Source organism: Homo sapiens, chromosome 5 (genome assembly GCF_000001405.40).
Source record: "Homo sapiens chromosome 5, GRCh38.p14 Primary Assembly".
Classification (NCBI taxonomy): domain Eukaryota; kingdom Metazoa; phylum Chordata; class Mammalia; order Primates; family Hominidae; genus Homo; species Homo sapiens.
The window spans coordinates 113,414,249-113,435,741 of record NC_000005.10 but is presented as its reverse complement, the minus strand read 5'-3'; the positions used below and the strand labels follow the sequence as shown (position 1 = coordinate 113,435,741).

Here is a 21,493-nt window from a genome sequence, read left to right as displayed (position 1 = left end):
GCTGTCCTCCTACAGAGCTGCTGTAAGAAGCCAGCAAAGGCTCAGACAAGGGAAGAGATGTATAGGGAGGCGGCAGAATCCAGGCATCTCAAACTGCGTGACTCCGGGGCCAGGAAGCTGTCTACCTTCTTGACACACCACTCTTCTTGGCCCTGCTCTGCACTCCTGAGGGTCACCTGTGTGGACAGCATCAAGGGCTGAAGGGGAGAAAAAGAAGTCAGGGATGGGACTTCCTCCCATCCCCTGCCAGCCTGTAGGGTCACTGAGGCTGGCTTTTTCTCCCCTGAAGGCCACTGCCTCTCTCAAGGTGGTCCTGTCTACACTACTCTTTCTGGGTTCCAGGGACCATTCCCACCCTTTTCTATGCAGGCCAGGGGTCTGCTACTATCTTGGGGTAATTGTGTGACCCTCAGGGTTCCCTACACTCTGCTCCCACCTTTATTAATTGTCCCTTTATTAAATCCTCCTCAGATGCCCTGGTTTGCAAGAATTGGCCTCAATTCTGCACAAGTATGCCTGGCTCTGGGTTTGGAAGCATGGGCAGGCCCATGTGTCCCACACAGTCCCCTTCTACCTCAGGTCCCAGCAAGACACGAGGCCACTTTCTGCTCATCTTGTCTGCTCCAGCCTACTGGCCAGCCTTCCAGGATTCCAAGTCCAAGTGCCTCAGGCCAGGGTCTCATTCCCCCAGGGCACTCCTCCTTTGTGACTTCACTCGCTGAAGTCATCTGGGAGACAGTGCCAAATGTTCCACTCCAGAGTCTTGGCCTCTAGGAGGCAGGAACAGCAGGCCTGGCCAGCCCAAAGGACTCTCTATCCAGGATGTAAATGAGCACACTGCTGGCCCATGCGCCTCGGGGCTGTAGAGGGCAGCCTCAGAGGCACTGGGCATTCCTGGCACCATGGATGACGCTGCTGTCCTCAAGCGACGAGGCTACCTCCTGGGGATAAATTTAGGAGAGGGCTCCTATGCAAAAGTAAAATCTGCTTACTCTGAGCGCCTGAAGTTCAATGTGGCGATCAAGATCATCGACCGCAAGAAGGCCCCCGCAGACTTCTTGGAGAAATTCCTTCCCCGGGAAATTGAGATTCTGGCCATGTTAAACCACTGCTCCATCATTAAGACCTACGAGATCTTTGAGACATCACATGGCAAGGTCTACATCGTCATGGAGCTCGCGGTCCAGGGCGACCTCCTCGAGTTAATCAAAACCCGGGGAGCCCTGCATGAGGACGAAGCTCGCAAGAAGTTCCACCAGCTTTCCTTGGCCATCAAGTACTGCCACGACCTGGACGTCGTCCACCGGGACCTCAAGTGTGACAACCTTCTCCTTGACAAGGACTTCAACATCAAGCTGTCCGACTTCAGCTTCTCCAAGCGCTGCCTGCGGGATGACAGTGGTCGAATGGCATTAAGCAAGACCTTCTGTGGGTCACCAGCGTATGCGGCCCCAGAGGTGCTGCAGGGCATTCCCTACCAGCCCAAGGTGTACGACATCTGGAGCCTAGGCGTGATCCTCTACATCATGGTCTGCGGCTCCATGCCCTACGACGACTCCAACATCAAGAAGATGCTGCGTATCCAGAAGGAGCACCGCGTCAACTTCCCACGCTCCAAGCACCTGACAGGCGAGTGCAAGGACCTCATCTACCACATGCTGCAGCCCGACGTCAACCGGCGGCTCCACATCGACGAGATCCTCAGCCACTGCTGGATGCAGCCCAAGGCACGGGGATCTCCCTCTGTGGCCATCAACAAGGAGGGGGAGAGTTCCCGGGGAACTGAACCCTTGTGGACCCCCGAACCTGGCTCTGACAAGAAGTCTGCCACCAAGCTGGAGCCTGAGGGAGAGGCACAGCCCCAGGCACAGCCTGAGACAAAACCCGAGGGGACAGCAATGCAAATGTCCAGGCAGTCGGAGATCCTGGGTTTCCCCAGCAAGCCGTCGACTATGGAGACAGAGGAAGGGCCCCCCCAACAGCCTCCAGAGACGCGGGCCCAGTGAGCTTCTTGCGGCCCAGGGAATGAGATGGAGCTCACGGCTTAAAGCCCAAGCTCTGAAGAAGTCAAGGGTGGAGCCAGAGAAGGAAGGCAGTCCCAGATGAGCCTCTATTTTCATCAGCTTCTTCTCTCTCCCCTTGAACTTGGTAACCCACATGGTTCTCCCGTGGCCCCTAGGTGGATGAGGCCAAAGTCAAATCCAAGGCTGAGACAGTCGTGCGACTCCTACTCCCCCAGAGCGTGACCCGGAGCAGGTGCTGGACACAGAGCCTGTCTCAGCAGAGGGTCCCCACTGGCCGCAACGGCTCAGTGACAGCAAGAGCAGGAAGAGCAGCAGGAAGGCACCGCTGTCCACCTTGGGCACCATTTATCCTCCTTTCATCGTCCCCGGGGCAGTTGCGTGACCCTGCTGGGAGGCCAGACCGGGCCAGACTGAGGGTCAGGGGACCAGGCTGGGTTGGGGGTTGGGTGGGGCTGGACGGGGACGAGGCGCGGAGAGGCGGCGGGAAAGAGCTTCGGCTGGGCCACGGGCTCGCGGGCACTCTCGGCGGCAGCCTCGGGGGCTCCGACTCCAGCTCTGGGCAAGATCCATAAACTTTTAAAGAAGCCTCAAAACATACTTTTAAAGCATTAAGCTTTAAAGTGCTAGAAATCTTGTGCCCCATATGTGCTTCTTTCAGTATTATCCTAGATCCTCAGGAGTAGCATGGCAACTGGAGAAAATGGGAGGAAAGACAAGAAGAAATAGAAGCTGATTTAACATCAAGTTTATTCAGTTTTGATTTTTCTTATCTCTACTGGCTTTCTCCTGTTCAAACCTTGCAGCGATAATATTTGGAAAAGAGCACTTGGAAATTATATTCCTGTTTTTAACTCTTTATATTTAATCATTCTCCTTGTAATTGATTTTGTAGCTAATTTACTCCCCAGCACCCCCAGAAGAAAATTTTACAAAGGAAAATGTTTTATTTTTATTTTTTCCTTATCAACTTTTTATTTAAATGCTAATATCCAATTAATGGACAAACGAATCAGCTAATACTGGAAACAATGTAACAATAGTGAAAAGCATGAACTTTTGATTTCTATAGACCGAATTTGACTCTGCTACTAAATGATCTTGGGCAAGTTGGTTAATCTATATGTCTCAGTTTCTTTATCTATAAAATGAGAATAATACAACTTCATTAGGCATGCTATTCATTAATGTGTTTAGTTCTCATAACCCTATGGGAGGGGTCCTATTATTATTCCCATTTTATAGACACGAAATTGAGTAAAGTCAGTTTAGGTCACTTGTCTCTGAGCACATGATAAATACGTGGCAGAGCCAAGGTTAAAGCCCAGGTACACTCCAGCTCCGAGCCAACACTGTTAGCTGTTTTTTTTTCTTTTCTTTTTTTTTTTTTTTTTTTTTTTGAGACAGAGTCTCGCTCTAGCCCAGGCTGGAGTGCAGTGGTGTGATCTCGGCTCACTGCAACCTCTGCCTCCCGGTTCTGGGTTAAGCAATTCTCCTGCCTTAGCCTCCTGAGTAGCTGGGATTACAGGCACGTGCCACCATGCCCAACTAATTTTTGTTTTTGTTTGTTTGTTTATTTGTTTTTTGAGACGGAGTCTCGCTCTATCTCCAGGCTGGAGTGCAGTGGCACGATCTTGGCTCACCAAAACCTCCGCCTCCCGGGTTCAACCAATTCTCCTGCCTCAGCCTCCCAAGTAGCTGGGACTACAGGCGTGTGCCACCATGCCCAGCTAATTTTTGTATTTTTAGTAGAGACGTTGTTTCACCAAGTTGACTAGGATGATCTTGATCTCTTGACCTCGTGATCTGCCTACCTCGGCCTCCCAAAGTGCTGGGATTACAGGTGTGAGCCACTGTACCCCGCCCTAATTTTTGTATTTTTAGTAGAAACGGGGTTTCATCATGTTGGCCAGGCTGGTCTTGAACTCTTGACCTCGTGATCCACCCCCCCCCCCCCTTGGCCTCCCAAACTGCTGGGATTACAGGCGTGAGCCACCGCGCCTGGCCACACTGTTAGCTTTTAAACTACAGCCTCAAGGTATACCCCTCTAAGGCGATAGCCTCATGGCCTGTTGCAGGAGCAGGAAGAAACCAGAGTCGGTACTCAGGTGTCCCTGAACAGCATCTCTGCCTCTAGCTTTCTAATGCCCCAGGAAGCCCTTCACCCACCCCATTTATATGTAGATGTCCTAGCCCCTTGTACCTCAAGATGTGACCTTGCTTGGAAATAGAGTCATTGCAGATGTAATTAGTTAAGATCATACTGGAGTAGGGTGAGATGCTAATCAAATATGACTGGTGCCCAGGAGAGAGGCCTGGAACAGATCCTTTCCTAGTGCCCTCAGAGAGAGAAAGGCCCTGCCAACTCCTCTATCTTAGACTTCTGGCATCCAGAAGTGTAAATCACTACTTTTCTTTTGTCTAAGCCCCTCAGTTTGTGGTACTTTGTCATAGCAGCCCTAGCAAACTAATACACCTACCATATGCAACTAATCTGGTTAGGCCCTTAGCACTGTTCAGTTAGCCATTTCTTCATCTCTTCTCAACTCTCTCCCATAATCCACTGGAAAACTCCTCCAATCCTTTCACTACCTCAAGCTCCTCCCCTTCCTTTCTCCCTCAGCAGATAATCTCACTTCCTACTCTTCTGACACCATAGCTACCTCTTAAGAGGGCTCTCAATTTCCCTCATACTTCTCTGTTGCCACTGGCTCCTTTTCTTTTTAGACCATTGCTCTTCCTACCGTACACATTTTAGCTTTCAACAAGGCTTGGTCCCTCTCCTTTCCATTCTCCATGTGCCCCTCTCAGTGTTCATACTCATTTCCATAAGTTTACCCTGCACTATTAACTCTGAAGCTTATTCCTGTAACCCAGCTTCTCTTCAGAGTACGGGCCCTCATGATCAGTTCCATCTGCAGTCTCTTCACGCTGACCACCCTCCAACTAGCACACTCTGACCTCTGTACCAGCTTCTGTCATCTCTATTTTTCACATTCAACCAGACCCCAGAACTTACTTTTCCATGCCCTCCTACAAACAAAGTTGGCAAGACCTCTTGATTCTTTCTTTGCCTTACCTCTCATATACATGCTTTCTGATTCCCACTAGAACATTTCAAATCCTCACCCTGAGCAACTGTCCTGAGGAATTGTCCTTCCTGTTTACTCTGTCTAGCTTCCAGCCTGTCTTTCATACACTGCCAATGTCATCTTCTCAACATAAAATTTTACTTATGTTTCTACCCTCAGAGGGCTGGACCTTTGTTGCAGAGAGAATAGAGGCCCATCTTAAGTCTAGCATTCAAGGCTCCCCTTTAATACAGCTCCAGCTTACCTAAAATAACTAAGGGAGGCCAACTATCTACATAGGAAGAACTTTACCTAGTGCTCTGCCCTACTAGGAACTTCATGGTCCAAAATTAGATTTTAGCATTCTGTCAGCCATGACCTAGCTCAGTGGAGCTAATTCATGTTAACAAAACTTATGAAAGATTGGTGTACCTCCCAGGCTACCATTTTTCCAAGTTAGTGTTGAAAAAATGACTACCAAGTGCAATGGAACACATGTATTAACAGAGTCACACATACTTTGTCACTCCTGAGTGGGGAAGAGAAACAGGCAACCAAGTTCTAATGAGAAGGTTGCTTGGATCCATAGAAGGGAAATCTATGGCTAATCCCCATGGTTTCTTCCATCTGTGAACTCATGAGCTCTCCTGGCAGTTGCTTAGATCACAGTGACTGTTGTGATTGCATTTCAGGCCTGAATGTACAAAGACGTGACCTTGATTAGGTTTCAGTGTTTTCCCACCCACAGGATTATCTCACAGGACGTTTTACTTCTATATGTTGCTAATGTCATTGACTGTGTTGGTTTCTTTGTTCATTCATGTATTTATATGTTTGCTTATTTAGCTCTCAGCCACCTTATTTCCAAATTCTCCTCACTATATGAAGTGCCCTCAGAATTTCTCTGGATAGACTTTAGGCCATGACCCAGCAGCCTCTGAAACCCTGAACAGAACACCACCAACTGATCTAGCCAGGGCCTGAAAATATGTGTACCACTCTTGAGTCAAAGGCACTAACACTGAATGAGGGGGAAAAAGGACCTGGAGAAAAGAGGTTGAGAAAAAGGAGTGATGCAGAGCTAAAGAGGAAAACAAGCGAGGCATCTGTGAGGAATAAGTGCTTTAGTTTACTTGCATTACATGTCCCTTCACCCCCTATCTTAGTCAGCCCTGGCCGCCACAACAAAGTACCATAGACTAGGTGGTTTAAATAATAGAAATTAATTTTTTCGTGGTTCTGGAGGCTAGGAGATCCAAGATTAAGATGCTAGTTGATGCTGGCTAATGTGCTCTTTTCCTGGCTTGCAGACACCCACCTTCTCCCTGTGCCCTCACATGGCACAGAGAGAAAGATCTCTCTCTCTCTCTCTCTTTCTGTCTCTTCATATAAGGCTACAGTCCAATTGGATTAGGACCCCACCTTTACGACCCACATTTCACATTAATTACCTCCTAAAGACCCTGTCTTCAGATAGAGTCACATTGGAGGTTAGAGCTTCAGCATATGAATTTGGGAAGGGGAACACAATTCACTATACAACACTCCCCCTCAAAAAGAGTATATGTAAAGTTTTTGTCCTATTTCTTCGGTGAAGGAGAGCTAATGGATAATGGGATACTTAGATATAGTGTGATTACAGATATAAATTCTGACCCAACATTATTACCTTAATAGGTCTAGGTTATTAGCTAGACTGGGAAACAATTCGGCTGGATAAGTAAATCTTGTTCTTTTAAAATAAGTGAACCTAGGGGCTTCAAAGACAGTTCTATTAAGATGGCTAAATTTTATTTAATGTCTTTTGGACTGTGAGGAATTGAACCCTTAAACTAAAAAGTCCAACTGTGTTTAGTTGGAATTAACTTACTTCTTTACAGAAAGTCAAACTGTGTAGACAGGTTTCCCCTTAAATTCTTCCTTGAGATTGTGTTCTTCAGATGGGGAGGCCTTAAGTCGGGTTCCCTAGGATTACACTTGGGATCAACACCTGTGAGGGAGTGAAGGAAGCAGGATTAGGCACATGGAGAAGTTGAACTGTGACAGACTTACAGGAGATGTCTCAGCTGATCTTACAGGAAGTTCTGGAAATAAGATTGTCCTTCAGCATAGCCAAGAGTTGAGGCAAGAGGGCTAGGCCTTTGTAGCCTCATATCATATAGTCATTGGATATGGGGTGTCTCTGGGGAAGGGGCATAAGTGTCTGCCTTCCACAGAAAGCAGTTCCCAGGAAGGGACTCAGTCATAAGCCTTCTGCAGCCAACCCTGCTGGCAGCTGAGAGAACACATGCTTCAGTCGGTAAAGAGGGGTGTGGTGCTGCATCCCAGCATCCACTACAGGGAATAAGGGTGAGGGCAGGGGTCTGTAGATATTAGTTATACATTAAAATCTATTGACGTTCTTCTACTTGGGATTCATTTGTTTTTCTTGTGGTTAAGAGATCATCCTTGTACTAGAGGTTGAAGATTTTATATGTAGGAGCCCCTGAAAATGCTGAGCTGTGGCCAGCTGGGACTGGTTAATAGTTGTAGAATTAAAATGCCCTACGTTTCCAGTCATGTCATTACAGGCATAAGGGAGGGTGGAGCTAGACCCCATTGTACACTTAATTGAAAATTACTGATAGATGATGTGATGAGGAGCAAGTTTCAGACAAGCCTGGACATTTATTTTGGAGGAGCTGGTTTCCACTGAGGTATGTGTGGTTTCTATAACCTTCCTGGATTTTTTTTCCTGAGATTGCTTATGTTCATTTGCTAGAATTAGCAGAGAGGTTATGAAGATGGAATATAGTTCACTTTTGTATGAATGTTCCTCATCACTTGGCTGTTAATTAGTGTGGTTAGGTTTAATGAACTCATTTAATAACAATATTCCTGCAGAGAATTTTACTGAGTACTAAATTCTTAAATTTAATAATGCAAAACATATTTGTGTAGTGTTAATAATGGTTGCAAGACTTGCAGGGAGTAAAATACGGGAAGGTTAAGTGTAATGGATTAATTAAATAAGAAAGCCCAAACTACCTTTCAAAGTGACTCCATAATAATCTTCACTTTGTTTTAATGAATAAAGTAGACCATATCAAATGCCACTTGTGCATGTTAGTTTAAAAGCAGTATTCAAAGCTAGCACATTTAGATCAGGAGAAACATAAACACAGTGAAATATTCTGCTTGGCAAACAGAGTTTTGTTTCCTGTACTGATCCATTAAGTTGAATAACTTGATTTTCTTACAAGTCAACAGTATGTTTCTTCCATGTACAGAAATCAGTGGGACCTTTCCAGTCAACTCCCAAACAACAGCAGTTTGTATCAGCAGCAGTCCACATAAGCATTTGGGAAATGTTTTTAATTGCTTTAATTGCATATTAGGGAAATGACCAACTTCTTATTATAGCTTTTTCAAAGTAAGCAATTCATTTAAATGGGCTAAGGGCTTTTAAGCTGGTATAAATATCCTTTATATGATACATTCAAAATTATTTTGAGCAAACTTTTGAGGATGATAAATGTGTTTTGTAATTTATTATCCTAACAAATTGGCTAGACCTGAAGAAGATGTGTCCCTCAGAGTCCCCACCTGCAACATAGGGATAGAAAAAATATATCAATTAGGATGTGATAAGACAAGACATGATTAAATTCATATACCTTGAGTTCTCCAGAGTCCTCAAAGGCTATTTTGAGGATGAGTTTTGTGGATTTTGTTTGTGGAGAGGTAGTTACTCCAAACAGGAGTACTGAGGGAGAGTTTTGAACTCATTTTGCACTCCCATCGCATTATAGAGGAGTGAATTTTAAGTTTCTGAAATATTAGAAAGACTAGAAGTTTTAGTTTCCAATTAAATCCATCCCCATCACATTAGGAAGGCCCATTGGTTAGGCATGTGTTTAGTTATTTTATTTGAGACATCACGAATTCTGGGGTGGGTGGCTTAATGATGTCTTCAGTGAACCTTTTCCTTTTCTTTGTTCATCTTCACATTTTGCCATTCTTAGAATATAGGCATGTTCACATGCATATTGCCCCAGGGTCACAAGATGATTCTACCCACGCAGGTGTTGCTGCATTGCCAGGTACCATGTTTCGGGCATGAAGAACATAGAAAGAGAAAGTAGGAAATGATGACACCTAATTCAAAAAAGAAAAACTTTCCCAGAACCTTCAGGGTTTGTTTCGTTGGCTGCATACTATTACATTGTGTGGATACAGCATAACTAACTAGTCCTGGGGATAGATTTTGAGGGGCTGTTTATGGCACCCAGTCTTGGACTAACAGACATTTTGAAGGATGACAACGACCTATAGCTCTCAGATCCAGTGTTGACTTACTGTTTGTCAAGCCTCCCATGTTTCTAGTTTTGCTTCCCTTGTGGCCCTCATCTGCCAGCCTCAACCTGAGCGTGATCCTTATCTCAGGCCAGAGGGAGATAAGGAGTGAGTTCCAAGCACCCTGGGGCCCAGCATCTGCTTGCATTGGCATCCAGACAGGTTCTGGCCTGGTGTCTCAGTTCTGAAACCCATGTCCCCACTTTGCCTTATTTCCTGGGCCTGGCTGCCTGCCTTGGAAACCTACCAGCCCTCAGTCCCTTGAGGACCTGGCCTGCCTGGTTCTTGTCTGCTCCCTCCAGGAAGGGAAATTCTCTTTGAGCTTCTGCCTGGGTTCCGCCCTCGGCTGCCAGACTCACTTGATGATGTCTTATTGCCATGGCTTCAGAGTATTGCCAACTCCCATGACATAGATCCTTGGCCTCTCCCCACCCATCTTCCCTCCATCCACTTCCACCACCCCCAGCATGGTGAACGAGGTTATACATGGCTTAAGAAGTCAGATAGATACTAGATATTCAAAATCCCTAATGAAAAACAACACTCGTCTGTCCACCTACCCTAGGCCAATTCTTTGTAACACTGATGACGCTTTTAGCTGATTCTTCTCACGTTTGCTTCTATAATTTATAATAATTTGCTTATATTACTGTTTCTTCAAGTTTTCTTCAATTGTAGATATTGTGTATTGATTTTACACCAAGGAATATGTGGATTTAAGGCCTCCCTCCAAATATGCACCCACTTCCCCTTTACCTATTCTCCTAATCATAATGTTTGATTAGATCAATAGTCTCACTTCTTGTCACATAGGAGAGAAATAGAATTGTTTCTTGTTTATGCCACTTTTACTTGGTAATTGGTTATATGCACCCAAGCCCAATATACTGTGTTTCTCTTTCTTGTGAACATCCTCCTTTTGGTGGTGTCCCTCTCCCAGTAGCTTCCTGAGAAGCATATGTGACAGCTAATGTTTTGAGAAATGTCTTGATTCTGCCCTTTCATTTGATTGATTGTTTTACTGGGCATAGAATTTGAGATTAGAAATTGTTTTCTCTTGGAATTTTGAAGTGATTGTTTATCCTAGCACTCAGTATTGCTATGAAAAGTAGGTGCTGTGATTCCCAATCCTTTTATAAGACCTGTTGTTGTTTCTCTTTTTCTCTTCTGAAAGCTTTTGGGATTCTCTCTTTGCCCAATGTTCTGATATTTCATGTCTTTAAAAAAAATTGTTTCTGTGGTCCTTTGTGGACCCTATCTCATGGAAACTGATATTCTTAAGTTCTAGGAAATTTCTTAATTATATGTGTGATAGTTTCCTCCCCTCGGTCTTCTTTGTCATTCTTTCTGTAATTCATCCAATGTAATTTGGATGTCAGATATTGCAAAGTGAGCTTATTTTTTGACCCTTTCTTTCATATTTTCTAGTTCTTTTTTTTTCACTCCTAGCATTGCTGTTCTATTTTCTGGGAGATTTTCTCAATTTTACTTTTCAATTTGTATATTAAAATTTCAGTTTCTGCTTTTAATTTTTAAGAGTTTTTTGTTAATGTTATTCTCTGGGTGTGCTTTCTAATTTTTTAATTTAAAAAAAATTTTTTTGAGATGGAGTCTCACTCTATTACCCAGGCTGGAGTACAATGGCACAATCTCAGCTCACTGTCACCTTTGCCTCCCAGGTTCAAGGAATTCTCCTGCCTAGCCTCCAAGTAGCTGGCATTACAGACACCTGCCACCACACCCAGCTAATTTTTGTATTTTTAGTAGAGATGGTGTTTCACCATGATGGTGAGGCTGGTCTCAAACTCCTAACCTCAAGTGATCCACCCGCCTTGGCCTCCCAAAGTGCTGGGATTACAGGTGTGAGCCATCACACCTGGACTGAGTGTTCTTTTTTAAAACTTATTATTGTTCTGTGAAAATTATGTCATTGTTTAACTATATACTGATGTCCATGATAGGTTTTTGGAAGTTATCTAATCTTCCAGCATTATTTCTGTTTCCTATGAGTTCTTTTTTATATTTTTAATTTTTTTTGTCTCTTTTATATTAGATGCCCTCTTCAAATACCTATTAGTCTTCAGTTGTTCCTGATATTTAAGGGCGAGGCATAACAAAGCTGATTAGAATGTGTGTGTGTGTGTGTGTGTGTGTGTGTGTGTGTGTGTGTGTGTGTGTGTGTAGAGGATGACTTTTTGACCAGTGGGATTAACCGTAGGATGATCTAAGAGGGCTGTTTCACTGAGAGATTCTTCCCTCCCCTTCCTAATACACACAGATATTTTCTTTTGGCCCAGGCAGTATCCCCAGAGGGATGTCCTTCAGTCTGCCATCTGGTTGGTATAAAGCTAGTAGCCAGGGTTGTCAGAGCTGAGTGGAGGAAAAGGGAAAAACAGTTTTACCATTCTCCGTGAGGACTTCGCCTGAATTCCCCAATTTCAGGATGATAACCTTATCCTACGAGTGGTAACCCTGAGTCCAGAAGCAAGTGGGGATCAGCCACTATAGAAAATAAATTAGTTTTCTGCCCGGGTTGAGAAAACTTGACTGTGCCGGGTTGGGGGTGGGAAATAGAGATCTAATGGCTTCTTACACACACCTTCAACTCATTCTCCTGTTATGAACGTCACCTGCATTCACTGGCTCTCCTATTTCTGAGCCTGGCCAATACTTGCTTCAGTCTGGCTTTCTCTGGTGAGCTGATTCCACTCATCTATATGCCTTGTAACTTTTGAAATTTAGTTGTTCTAATCATCACTTCTGTTCTCCTCGTTATTATACCAGTTAATTCTCATTATTCACAGTAATTATGTTCTAGAAAGTTGCAGCAAACACTGAATTCGTAAATATTGAATTGTTGCTTCTAGGGGAAACACAGGGTTAGATTCTTGTGAGCCCAGGATCAACACATAGCTTTGTGTTATGTATAGGTTCTTTTTAAAGACACCCTGTTTAATATAGATTGTTGATTCATTAACATTGAGCTCATGGCCAACAGCACTGTCACTCATGCCTGAACAAAGCTTATCTAACATGTATATTCTTTGCAAGGCACTTAGGAAACCAGACAGCCCTTCAGCACTGTGCTTGGGGGCCACTTTAGACAGCAAAGTTATCAACAAAAAGCACGAAGGTATGAAAAACGTGACACTAAATAGACCATGAAAAGGATGATGTTTACAGTATGAGATCCAGAACAAAGGCAGAGTGTTGCTTTGTTCAGCCTCTGCTGGGAACTTGTGTGTTGGACGACTCAAATTTTTCACCACTCTGACCACATTCACAAATAATTGTGGAAAACACGATGAGTATTGATTTGGGGCTACAAATAAGTTTTACTGAGTAGGCAAGTTTGCAAACACAGAATCCATGAGTCATGGGGATCTCCTGTAGTTTTGTGCTTTTTTATTCTTTTATCCTTTTAGGATGGTTTCAGGAGGCATTGAAAGGGAACAAGGAAAGTAACTAAGTATATTAAATCTACCAAGTATAACTAGAAGTCTCTGTCATCCCAGTCATTTTTTAGAGGATCCACTAATTCCTATTTATCTCCGATGCCATGTCAGATTTCTTCTAGCTCCTCCAGCTCACTCTGCCTCTTACATCCTTTTGCATCTCCACTGGGCTCATCCAGGTCCAGATTCCACGGCTCTTCAAGTCACCCAGGCCTGCTGCAACAAGCTGGGCCATACCTGATAATGCCACAACATCCTGAAGGTTATGTGTAGGTCTTTCCTATATCCTATAATCAATGATGCACTGGAGCTGGCTCGTACTTGCTTGCAAAAGCAAATTGCTAAATTTTCAGGAATTTTGTGAGCCATTATTAAACATAACCATTGTTAAAAACTAAATCATAAAGTCAATTAAAAAGACAAAAATAACTTAAAATTAAATCATAGAAGCTTGTAAACAAATAAATTACATGAACAACAAATATAATAAATGCTCAAACTCATCACTTACTATTTATTTTACTATATTTACAGTTATCCATGCTCTTGGGGCTGTTTATATCTCTTGTATCTGTATGGTGGAATACTGTATCATGGTGTGGTACAGCACATCTCTAATCAGTCTCCTCACTAGATGTGATTTTCAGTGATGTGACAATGATAGCTTCAAATCAACCATGGCCGGAGTGTATTTACCATGGAAATCAGCAAATGCTCCAAATCAAGGCTTTTTCTCCCCAGAGAGCCTATTGTTAAACCTTCACCAACACAGCACTGACTGAATTAACTATAATTTTATTGCTGCTGTTAGGGATTCACTAATTTATATTCTGTCTTCTCTGGCCTTCAAATACCTCAGTAAAAGCTGAAAAAGTGGCAAAAACATTTATATGAAGCAATCTTACTATCATAGTCTTATTTATACTGTCACTAGCATTAGCAATGGAAGGACCCCAGGGAACTGGGAAGTGGTGAAGAAAATAGCAAATCACCCCTGGATCCTAGGAAATTGACTATTTCAAGGACTCCAGAGCCTCATGGAGCGTGGAATTGAGTGAAAATAGAAATTAACTGACAAAGGCAATGGGGAAGGAGTCAGCAGCTAGATCCAAGGATATACATTAGCTCCGTGGATGTTTATTTAGCAGAAATAGTGGGGAAAATGAAGTGAAAACTGGTAGAACAGAGTCACAGGAAGAGAGTCTGGGTCCTTCCTACTGTTGCAGACAGTCTGACCCAGATGAGCGAAAGGGTCTTGTAAATGTGAGCTTGGAAAAGTGAAGTTTTTATAGTTAACAGATGGGGATACAAAAAGTATTGATGCCTTATTAGAATCGTACTGCCTAGGAAAGTCTTAATATGTGTGAATAACAGAGGATGGACCATTAATATGTTATTTCTCTGACCAGTTAGAAATGTTATGAAATTAAAGAGTTTTATTTTCTCTGAGCAGTAAGTCTAGGGAAGTTTGCTGAAATAATTATTCCAGGAAAATCCAGTGGGGGTAAAGGTCATATTTAAAATTCTTTTGCAGAGGCCGGGTGCAGTGGCTCACACCTGTAATCCCAGCACTTTGGGAGTCCAGGCGGGCAGATCACATGAGGTCAGGAGTTCAGGACCAGCCTGAACAACCTGGAGAAACCCCGTTTCTACTAAAAAATACAAAAATTAGCTGGGCATGGTGGCGCGTGCCTGTAGTCTCAGCTACTTGAGGAGGCTGAGGCAGGAGACTCGCTTGAACCTGGGAGACAGAGGTTGCAGTGAGCTGATATCGTGCCACTGTACTCCAGCCTAGGCAACAGAGTGAGACTCCATCTCAAAAAAAAAATAAATAAATAAAATTCTTTTGCGGAATTTCCACTAATTGTAAACTTTTATAAAGTTCAAATTACTGATTTATAATGTAAAGTCAGTGAGTATTTTAGAAGCTTGAATATATTATATTTAACATTAGTGCTTAGAATCCTTTGATTCCAAATAGCAAAAAGAGCTAACTGCCTGATATATCCCCGGAAAGGCAGTTAAGCAGGAAAAAAGTCAGTGTAGGAGGAAAAACAGAAAATAGTTGTGCTGCCGTCCTCCCTGCCTACTATCATTGGTATGAAAAAACTGGGTTAATAGGCTTAATGGCAGGCCCGATTTGAGAGACCCTTGGGAAAATAGACTAGCATGTCCTTTATATTTATAAAATAGAATAATACTTCTTCCTATTTATAAGCACACTGGTGTGCAGTGGAAGGTCCACCTCTGGGCCTGCTGTCACGTGGATTCTTAGTTTTGGTTCCAAACTTCAGTTTTGGGAATCTGTAGTGTGTCTTTCAGAGAAGAAGAATTACTGTCAGGTTTGTATATTAAAATTTATTTCATAGAGATGATCCCTGCTTGAATGAAGTGTTATCCCTTGAAGTAAACTAAAAAACCTTATAAAGTTGCTCAAGGGATAAGGCAAAAATGTTTGTCCTGAGTTGTTTGATATAATCTTCATATAACAGAAATTTTTACAAGTGGCAAATGCTGTCAGATTTCTTTTTTCCTTTTAATTGTTATTCTTTGCGTCTAACTTGTTTTTGGTGCTGTTGTTGTTGCACTTGCTTTTTTTCTTCTATGGATAGCATAAAATAATTTTTCTAAATTACTTTGCCTAATCTTATATTTAAGATTTAATCTTAATATAAGATTTTTATATTTAATCTTATATTTAATCTTAAGTATAAGATTTAAGTAAACTTTGGCACAATGAATGAATTCTTTTTTTATTTCAATTGAGATATAATTCATATAACATATTTCACCTTTTTTTCTTTTCTTTTTTATTTTTATTTTTATTTTATTTTATTATTATACTTTTAAGTTTTAGGGTACATGTGCACAACGTGCAGGTTTGTTACATATGTATACATGTGCCATGTTGGTGTGCTGCACCCATTAACTCGTCATTTAGCATTAGGTATATCTCCTAATGCTATCCCTCCCCCCTCCCCCCACCCCACAACAGTCCCCGGTGTGTGATGTTCCCCTTGTTGTGTCCATGTGTTCTCATTGTTCAATTCCCACCTATGAGTGAGAACATGCGGTGTTTGGTTTTTTGTCCCTGAGATAGTTTGCTGAGAATGATGGTTTCCAGTTTCATCCATGTCCCTACAAAGGACATGAACTCATCATTTTTTATGGCTGCATAGTATTCCATGGTGTATATGTGCCACATTTTCTTAATCCAGTCTATCATTGTTGGACATTTGGGTTGGTTCCAAGTCTTTGCTATTGTATTTCACCATTTTTAAAGTACACAATTCAGTGGTTTTTAATATATTTACTGTGTTATGCAGTCACCACCATTATCAAATTTCAGACTGTTCCTATCACAACGGGGTATGGTGGCTTACACCCGTAATCCCAGCACTTTGGGAGCTTGAGGTGGGAGGATTGCTTGAGTCCAGGAGTTTGAGACCAGCCTGGGCACATAACGAGACCCATCTCTACCAAGAAAAAAAAAAGAAAAAAAGAAGAAGAATAAGTAAAAAATTAGCTAGGTGTTGTGGCATGCACCTATGGTCCCAGCTACTTGGGAGGCCAAGGTGGGAGGATCCCTTGAGCCCAGGAGTTGAAGGCTGAAGTGAGCTATGATAGCGCCGCTGCACTCCACACTCCAGCCTGAGTGGCAGAGCAAGACTGTGTCAAAAAAAAAAAAAAGAAAGAAAAAAAAGAATATTCCTATCACCTTCAAAAGAAACCTCATACCTATTAGCAGATACGTGTTCTTGGATATATGTATACCTAGGAGTGTCATTGCTGGGTCACATGGTAATTCTGTGTTTAACGTTCTTAGGAATTGCCAAACTTTTTCCCAATGAATTCATTTCTGTTAGTTGCATACCCTTAATTGTTCAGTTCTCCTGCAAGTACGCATCCCTCTTTGGTTGGTTGTGCCTTTTGTGATGTTCTGGGAGAGACACGAAGAGGAGCTCTGTGATGCGGTGCTGCTTGATGCAGCATGGAAACTCATTGCTTTTTGATTGGTTTTGTCTGCAACTTGTCAGGAAATAATTAAAGGCCCTTTTTACCCCTAATTGTGGTAATAGATTCATATACGTTTTCTGTCTGTTCTGCTTTCACTTTGCTAAATGGCTACTTTCTTGTACTCATCTTGATGATGATGATGATGATGATGATAATAATGATGAAGATTTTGCCACTTGTTAGGTGCTTTCTAGGTTCCAGGCACTGCACTAAAAGCTTTACATACAGTATTTCTTTAATCTTCACAATACACTTCTGAGGTGGATATTTTTAATCCCTTTTTCACTTGCCCAAACCAAGGCTTAACTGGGTAAAGAAATTTCACATGGCTGGAGGTTGGCAGAAAAGAAGGAAGGTGTGCTAAGCTGGGGTCTCCCACTGCTTGGAAAGATGAACATATGTCTATTTAAACATATGTATATTTAATCTTATATTTAATCTTAAATATAAGATTTAGGTAAACTTTGGCACAATGAATGAATTCATTTTTTATTTCAATTGAGATATAATTCATATAACATATTTCACCTTTTTTTCTTTTCTTTCTTTTTTATTTTTATTTTTGTTTTATTTTATTATTATACTTTTAAGTTTTAGGGTACATGTGCACAACGTGTACCCCTATTTAAACGGGGTTCATTAGATTTGAGTTTGTGCTGCTGAATTTGAAAATTGAGATCATACCTGAAGCCTCTATCAAATAGAAGGGAAAAAAGAAGTAGGCCTTAGACAAATCCAACATGTAGCTTTAGATGCTGTATCTCCAAAAAAGACATGAGGGAGGAAATGACTGCAAACAGTATGCAGTCACCTTCTAAATTCTGTAGTATTTAAGTCTCATATCCTTTATAAGTGACACTAGGAAAATTATTTCTTATTTTCACTTTTGTATGACTTTTTTTTTTTTTTGGAAATAGTGTCTCACTCTGTCACCCAGGCTGGAGTGCAGTAGCACTATCTCAGCTCACTGTAGCCTTGATCTCCCGGACTCAAGTGAGTGATCCTCCTACCTCAGCCTCCTGAGTAGCTAGGACTACAGGCGTGTACCACTATACCTGGCTTATTTTTGTATTTTTTGTAGAGACAGGGTTTCACCATGTTGCCCAGGCTGGTCTCAAACTCCTGACATCAAGCAATCCCCCTGCCTCGGCCTCCCAAAGTGCTAGAATTACAGGCGTGCCTGGCCTTGTATGATATTTTAATGTTGTCCCTTACACCTGTGCATAAGAAATCTAGAAAAATGCACTTTAATGTCATTGGCTTTTAGAACTCCAAGATGAAAAGTTCTTTCCAAGTTTGTCATGGTTGTGGCTTTTCAAATGGGAAACTATTTGGTGCCTCAGTGGACCTCCTTTGCTGCACTGGTGCACAGGGAAATCACTGACCTCTTAGGCAACAATGGTTAAAGCCATAACAGCATTTCCCGAAATGAAAGCATGGCCACTGGTAGCTTAGTAACAAGCAGCTCTGCTTTATGAAGTATGGGACTTTTCCTAAAATGCCTGTAGATTTTAAAACAATTGTAGGCATTTTGGAAAGGTATATATTAGGCAGGAGCATAAAAAAGCAATTCACTGCTGGGTGCGGTGGCTCACGCCTGTAATCCCAGCACTTTGGGAGGCCTAGGTGGGCGGATCATGAGGTCAGGAGATTGAGACTATCCTGGCCAACATGGTGAAACCCAGTCTCTCCTAAAATACGAAAGATTAGCCAGGCGTGGTGGCATGCGTCTGTAGTCCCAGCTACTTGGGAGGCTGAGGCAGGGGAATCACTTGAACCTGGGAGAAATAGGTTGCAGTGAGCCGAGATCGTGCCACTGCACTCCAGCCTGGCAACAGAGCAAGACTCCGTCTCAAAAAAAAAAAAAAAAAAAGGCAATTCACATGGTAAGAAACAGCAATGACCAATATGTAAATCCAATACGTAAATAAAATTATTGACCAATTTTGTCAATAATTTGCAAATTGTTGACAAAAATAATTGTCATTATATTTGACGATTTATTTTAATTGTCAAAAATGTAAAATAAAATGAGATATCAATTTTATCTGTTTATTATTGAAGAAGTAATATATGTATGTGGTACAAAATTCCAGAATGAAAAATTATTTAAAATGGAAAGTATATTTCTCTCCTCTCATGCTATTTTGTTTTCTAGCCACTTCATCTAACTGTCCAAGGGCATCTACCATTACCTGTTTCTTATGAACCCTTTTAATGGTTGTCCATGAACATGCGTATGTGTATACATATACATGCATTTATGTATAGATATATATGTATGTAGAATATACTGTAAACACTCTGTACCTTGCATTTTTACATAACAATTATTATTAGAAACTTTTCCATATCAATACATATATAGCTGCCATGTTATTTAGCCACCTGCTCCCCCTGCCACTTTTTTTTTTAAGAGATGGGATCTCTTGTTGCCCAGGCTGGAGTGCAGGGGCTATTCACAGGTGTGATCATAGCACACTACAACCTCAAACTCCTGTGCTCAAGCAATCCTCCTGTTTCAGTCTCCTGAGTAGATGAGACTACAGGTGTGTGCCAGCACACCCAGCTCTCCAACATTGTTTAAATGAACATTTTTAAGCATACAGAAAAGTCGGGACCTTATTCTTTTTAAGAGTTGCATAGGTCCATTCCAAGATGGCCGAATAGGAACAGCTCTGGTCTGCACCTCCCAGCGTGATCAATGCAGAAGACGGGTGATTTCTGCATTTCCAACTGAGCCTCTGCTGGTGATATCCAGGCAAACAGGGTCTGGAGTAGACCTCCAGCAAACACCAACAGACCTGCAGCTTAGGGACCTGACTGTTAGAAGGAAACTAACAAACAACAGGGAATAGCATCAACATCAACAAAAAGGACAGCCTCACCAAAACCCCATCTGTAGGTCACCAACATCAAAGACCAAAGGTAGATAAAACCACAAAGATGGGGAGAAACCAGAGCAGAAAAGGTGAAAATTCTAAAAACCAGAGCGCCTTTTCTCCTCCAAAGGATCACAGCTCCTCGCCAGCAATGGAACAAAGCTGGACGGAGAATGACTTTGACAAGCTGACAGAAGTAGGCTTCAGAAGGTCGGTAATAACAAACTTCTCCAAGCTAAAGGAGGATGTTCGAACCCATCACAAGGAAGCTAAAAGCCTTGAAAAAAGATTAGACCAATGGCTAAATAGAATAAACAGTGTAGAGGAGACCTTAAATGACCTGATGGAGCTGAAAACCATGGCACGAGAACTACGTGACGCATGCACAAGATTTAATAGCCAATTCGATCAAGTGGAAGAAAGGGTATCAGTGATTGAAGATCAAATTAATGAAATAAAGCAAGAAGAGAAGGTTAGAGAAAAAAGCATAAAAAGAAACGAACAAAGCCTCCAAGAAATACGGGACTATGTGAAAAGACCAAATCTACATTTGATTGGTGTACCTGAAAGTGACGAGGAGAATGGAACCAAGTTGGAAAACATTCTTCAGGATATTATCCAGGAGAGCTTCCCCAACCTAGCAAGGCAGGCCAACATTCAAATTCAGGAAATACAGAGAACACCACAAAGATACTCCTCGAGAAAAGCAACCCCAAGACACATAATTGTCAGATTCACCAAAGTTGAAATGAAGGAAAAAATGTTAAGGGCAGCCAGAGAGAAGGGTCGGGTTACCCACAAAGGGAAGCCCATCAGACTAACAGCAGATCTCTCGGCAGAAACTCTACAAGCCAGAAGAGAGTGGGGGCCAATATTCAACATTCTTAAAGAAAAGAATTTTCAACCCAGAATTTTATATCCAGCCAAACTAAGCTTCATAAGTGAAGGAGAAATAAAATCCTTTACAGACAAGCAAATGCTGATAGATTTTGTCACCACCAGGCCTGCCTTACAAGAGCTCCTGAAGGAAGCACTAAAGAAAGAAAGGAACAACTGGTACCAGCCACTGCAAAAACATGACAAACTGTAAAGACCAACTATGCTAGGAAGAAACTGCATCAACTAACGGGCAAAATAAGCAACTGACATCATAATGTGAGGATCACATTCACACATAACAATATTAACCTTAAATGTAAGTGGGCTAAAATGCCCCAATTAAAAGACACAGACTGGCAAATTGGATAAAGAGTCAAGACCCATCAGTGTCCTATATTCAGGAGACCCATCTCATGTGCGGAGACACACATAGGCTCAAAATAAAGGGATGGAGGAAGATCTACCAAGCAAATGGAAGCAAAAAAAAAGCAGGGGTTGCAATTCTAGTCTCTGATAAAACGGACTTTAAACCAACAAAGATTAAAAGAGACAAAGGCCATTACATAATGGTAAAGGGATCAATTCAACAAGAAGAGCTAACTGTCCTAAATATATATGCACTCAATACAGGAACACCCAGATTCATAAAGCAAGTCCTTAGAGACCTACAAAGAGACTTAGACTCTCACACAATAATAATGGGAGACTTTGACACCCCACTGTCAATGTTAGACAGATCAATGAGACAGAAGGTTAACAAGGATATTCAGGACTTGAACTCAGCTCTGCACCAAGTGGACCTAATAGACATCTACAGAACTCTCCACCCCGAA

At 42.2% G+C, this 21,493-nt stretch overlaps 2 protein-coding genes and 1 long non-coding RNA gene across 3 annotated transcripts in view; 2 read left to right on the top strand and 1 right to left on the bottom strand.

The window, feature by feature from the left end:
* MCC (MCC regulator of Wnt signaling pathway) overlaps nt 1-21,493 on the top strand; it is a 466,348-nt gene that overhangs the window by 52,712 nt on the left and 392,143 nt on the right. The window lies entirely within an intron of this gene.
* The window catches only part of LOC107986366 (uncharacterized), a 59,223-nt gene that overhangs the window by 23,422 nt on the left and 14,308 nt on the right, over nt 1-21,493 (bottom strand). The window contains exon 2 of the long non-coding RNA XR_001742459.2: nt 6,963-7,082. This is a non-coding gene — a long non-coding RNA (uncharacterized LOC107986366). The remainder of the gene's footprint in view (nt 1-6,962; nt 7,083-21,493) is intronic.
* TSSK1B (testis specific serine kinase 1B) lies at nt 753-3,189 on the top strand. Its single transcript, NM_032028.4, has one exon. The coding sequence runs from the start codon at nt 903-905 to the stop codon at nt 2,004-2,006; it is 1,104 nt and encodes a 367-aa protein (NP_114417.1). The 5' UTR covers nt 753-902; the 3' UTR covers nt 2,007-3,189.

Coding starts and splice junctions, on each gene's coding strand:
- TSSK1B (NM_032028.4), top strand. CDS start 903: ATGGATGACGCTGCTGTCCTCAAGCGACGAGGCTACCTCCTGGGGATA.